This window comes from Homo sapiens, unplaced genomic scaffold, assembly GCF_000001405.40.
Source record: "Homo sapiens unplaced genomic scaffold, GRCh38.p14 Primary Assembly HSCHRUN_RANDOM_CTG20".
Lineage (NCBI taxonomy): Eukaryota > Metazoa > Chordata > Mammalia > Primates > Hominidae > Homo > Homo sapiens.
In genome coordinates this window covers 208,329-210,658 of record NT_187498.1, presented here as the reverse complement: position 1 = coordinate 210,658, position 2,330 = coordinate 208,329, and positions in this window count along the sequence as shown.

The window sequence follows — 2,330 nt, the reverse complement described above, 5'->3', positions numbered from 1 at the left end:
GATCTTGCATTTAGAAAATCGTAAGAAATTTACTAAAAAGTATTAGGACTCATGAACAAATTTAAGAATGTAACACTGTATAAGATTGGTATACAAAAATAACTGTATTTCTTTACCAAGAAATCAAGAATCCAAAAATGGAATTACAAAAATAAATCTTGTTACAATAGAATTAAAGCTGGGGAAGCTTAAACTTGAACACTAAAAACTACAATACATGGTTAGCATTGGAAACACCCAGATACCATCCCTGAGCCTTCTCTCCTTGGCTCTGAGGGCTTTACCTTCACGGGGTGAGGAAAGGGGTTGCATTCTTGGCTTTTACATTATATTAGGTGGGTTCGGGTTGAGGTATCTGCAATTCAAATGAGTATTACAATCTCTACTTTATTGATAAGAGACTGAGGCCCACCAAGAGAGGGAATGACAGTCCATATCCTGGAAGGCGAATTGTCAGGCACTGATTTCCGCTATTTAACCCCTGCCAATCATCAAGTATTTAAAGGATCCCCAGATACCATACCAATAGGTGTTCAAGAGAGAGGCCTGTAATCTAGGCGTCTGAGAAAACAAGGCTATAGATTCCAATATTAGAGACAACAGGGCTCTGGGAAGATTAAGGTTGAGTTTTCTGGATCTGCAGAATAGAGTCACTGAGGACCAATTGCAAGATCAGAGGAGATGAAAGAACAAGTCAGGGCATGCTTAGGAAAAGAGAATACCAGGGATAGGTTTTAGGCAAGAGTCACACTGAGGAAGGGCAGGTTCTTGGCGTCGCTCAGGAAGAAATCCAAAAGCAAGCCTATGGTGGAAGAAAGCAGCTCTACGGAGGCATTGGCGGTGTTACAACCCTGCAACCACTCCGGCAGGGCAGGGAGCCCTCCGTGGGTTGTGCTCCCAGAGCAGCAGCCTAGGGGTGGCTTGTAGTCACTTTTATAATTCACTTTTAATGGCATGCTAATTAAGGGGAGGGTTATTCAGAAATAGCTAGAAATGGGCAGTAACTTCCATCTGTTTCCATGGCAAGGGGTGGGGACTTCTCGTGATGACATGGCATTGGCAAACTGTCATGGCACTGGAGGGAGCGTCTTCTGGTGATCTGAGGTGTGAGGTGCTTTTGCTGCCTCTCCCAGTTTCCTGCGTGCCTCTTACCTGAAAGCCTATCAACACCCCCATCTGCCCACCTACAAACGTCACTGCCCTTTCACCCCACCCCCGTTTCACACGCACTCCCACATCAACCCTGAGCATTCAAGCCTGCGTTTCCCTGTTGGGAACATCGGTGGTAGCCAGAGCTCTGAGAAACCCCTATGCAGAACTCCTTGCCTAGTTTGTGGCAGAAATCAGGGAAGGAAAGGCAAATTTCAGGTCTTTCTCACAATAAATAAATAAAGATAGGTAGATTTGATTGATTGATGGATGGATGAAACGTGGGAGTCTACGGGCAAATATTTATCAGACACTGGAAGTGAAAGTTGTCACAAAGATTATGGAGTGCACCTGTCTTATGACCCTGTTATTTTATCCTAGTATATGCATTAGAGCATATTTTCTAACTGTGTAAATTGAAGGCTCACAAATTAGTTTAGTGAGAGAAAAGATAACAGATTGGAAGAGAATTACCATATTCATTAGTTGTGTTTTTAAAATTTTAAAGTAAAATAGAGACATGATTTTTTTCATGCTTTCGAATGTATCTATAAAAAATAGACTTGAGGGCTGGGTGCAGTGGCTCACGCTTGTAATCCCAGCACCTTGGGAGGCCGAGGAGGGCGGATCACGAGGTCAGGAGTTGGAGACCAGCCTGACCAACATGGTGAAAACCCGTGTCTACTAAAAATACAAAAATTAGGCGAGTGTGGTGGCGCGCGCCTGTAATCCCAGGTACTTAGGAGGCTGAGGCAGGAGAATCACTTGAACCCGGGAAGCGGAGGTTGCAGTGAGCCAAGATCGCACCATTGCATTCCAGCCTGGGCGACAGAGTGAGACTCCGTCTCAAAAAAAAAAAAAAGTTACTGATTAATAGCATAGACCAATTGGCCTCTATTGAAATTTCTCCATTATTTTCACAATGTCCCAGGCTGTGAAACCAGTATTTAATAAAGAACCAGAATGCCACATCTCTGTCACCTGGGTAGGGACCAGTCCTGATACATTAAGTCCGGGTCTCTGGGTAACTGGACTCAACTGCTGGGCAAAACAGAATGTCCGGCGTGGGTTCCTAAATGGGGACCGCAAAGCCTCATGGGAATTGTAGTGTCACCTTCCAATGACGTTACCATCAAGGACTTTGGGAACCAGCTTTTCTCTCTGCGCATGCGCCGCCCGGC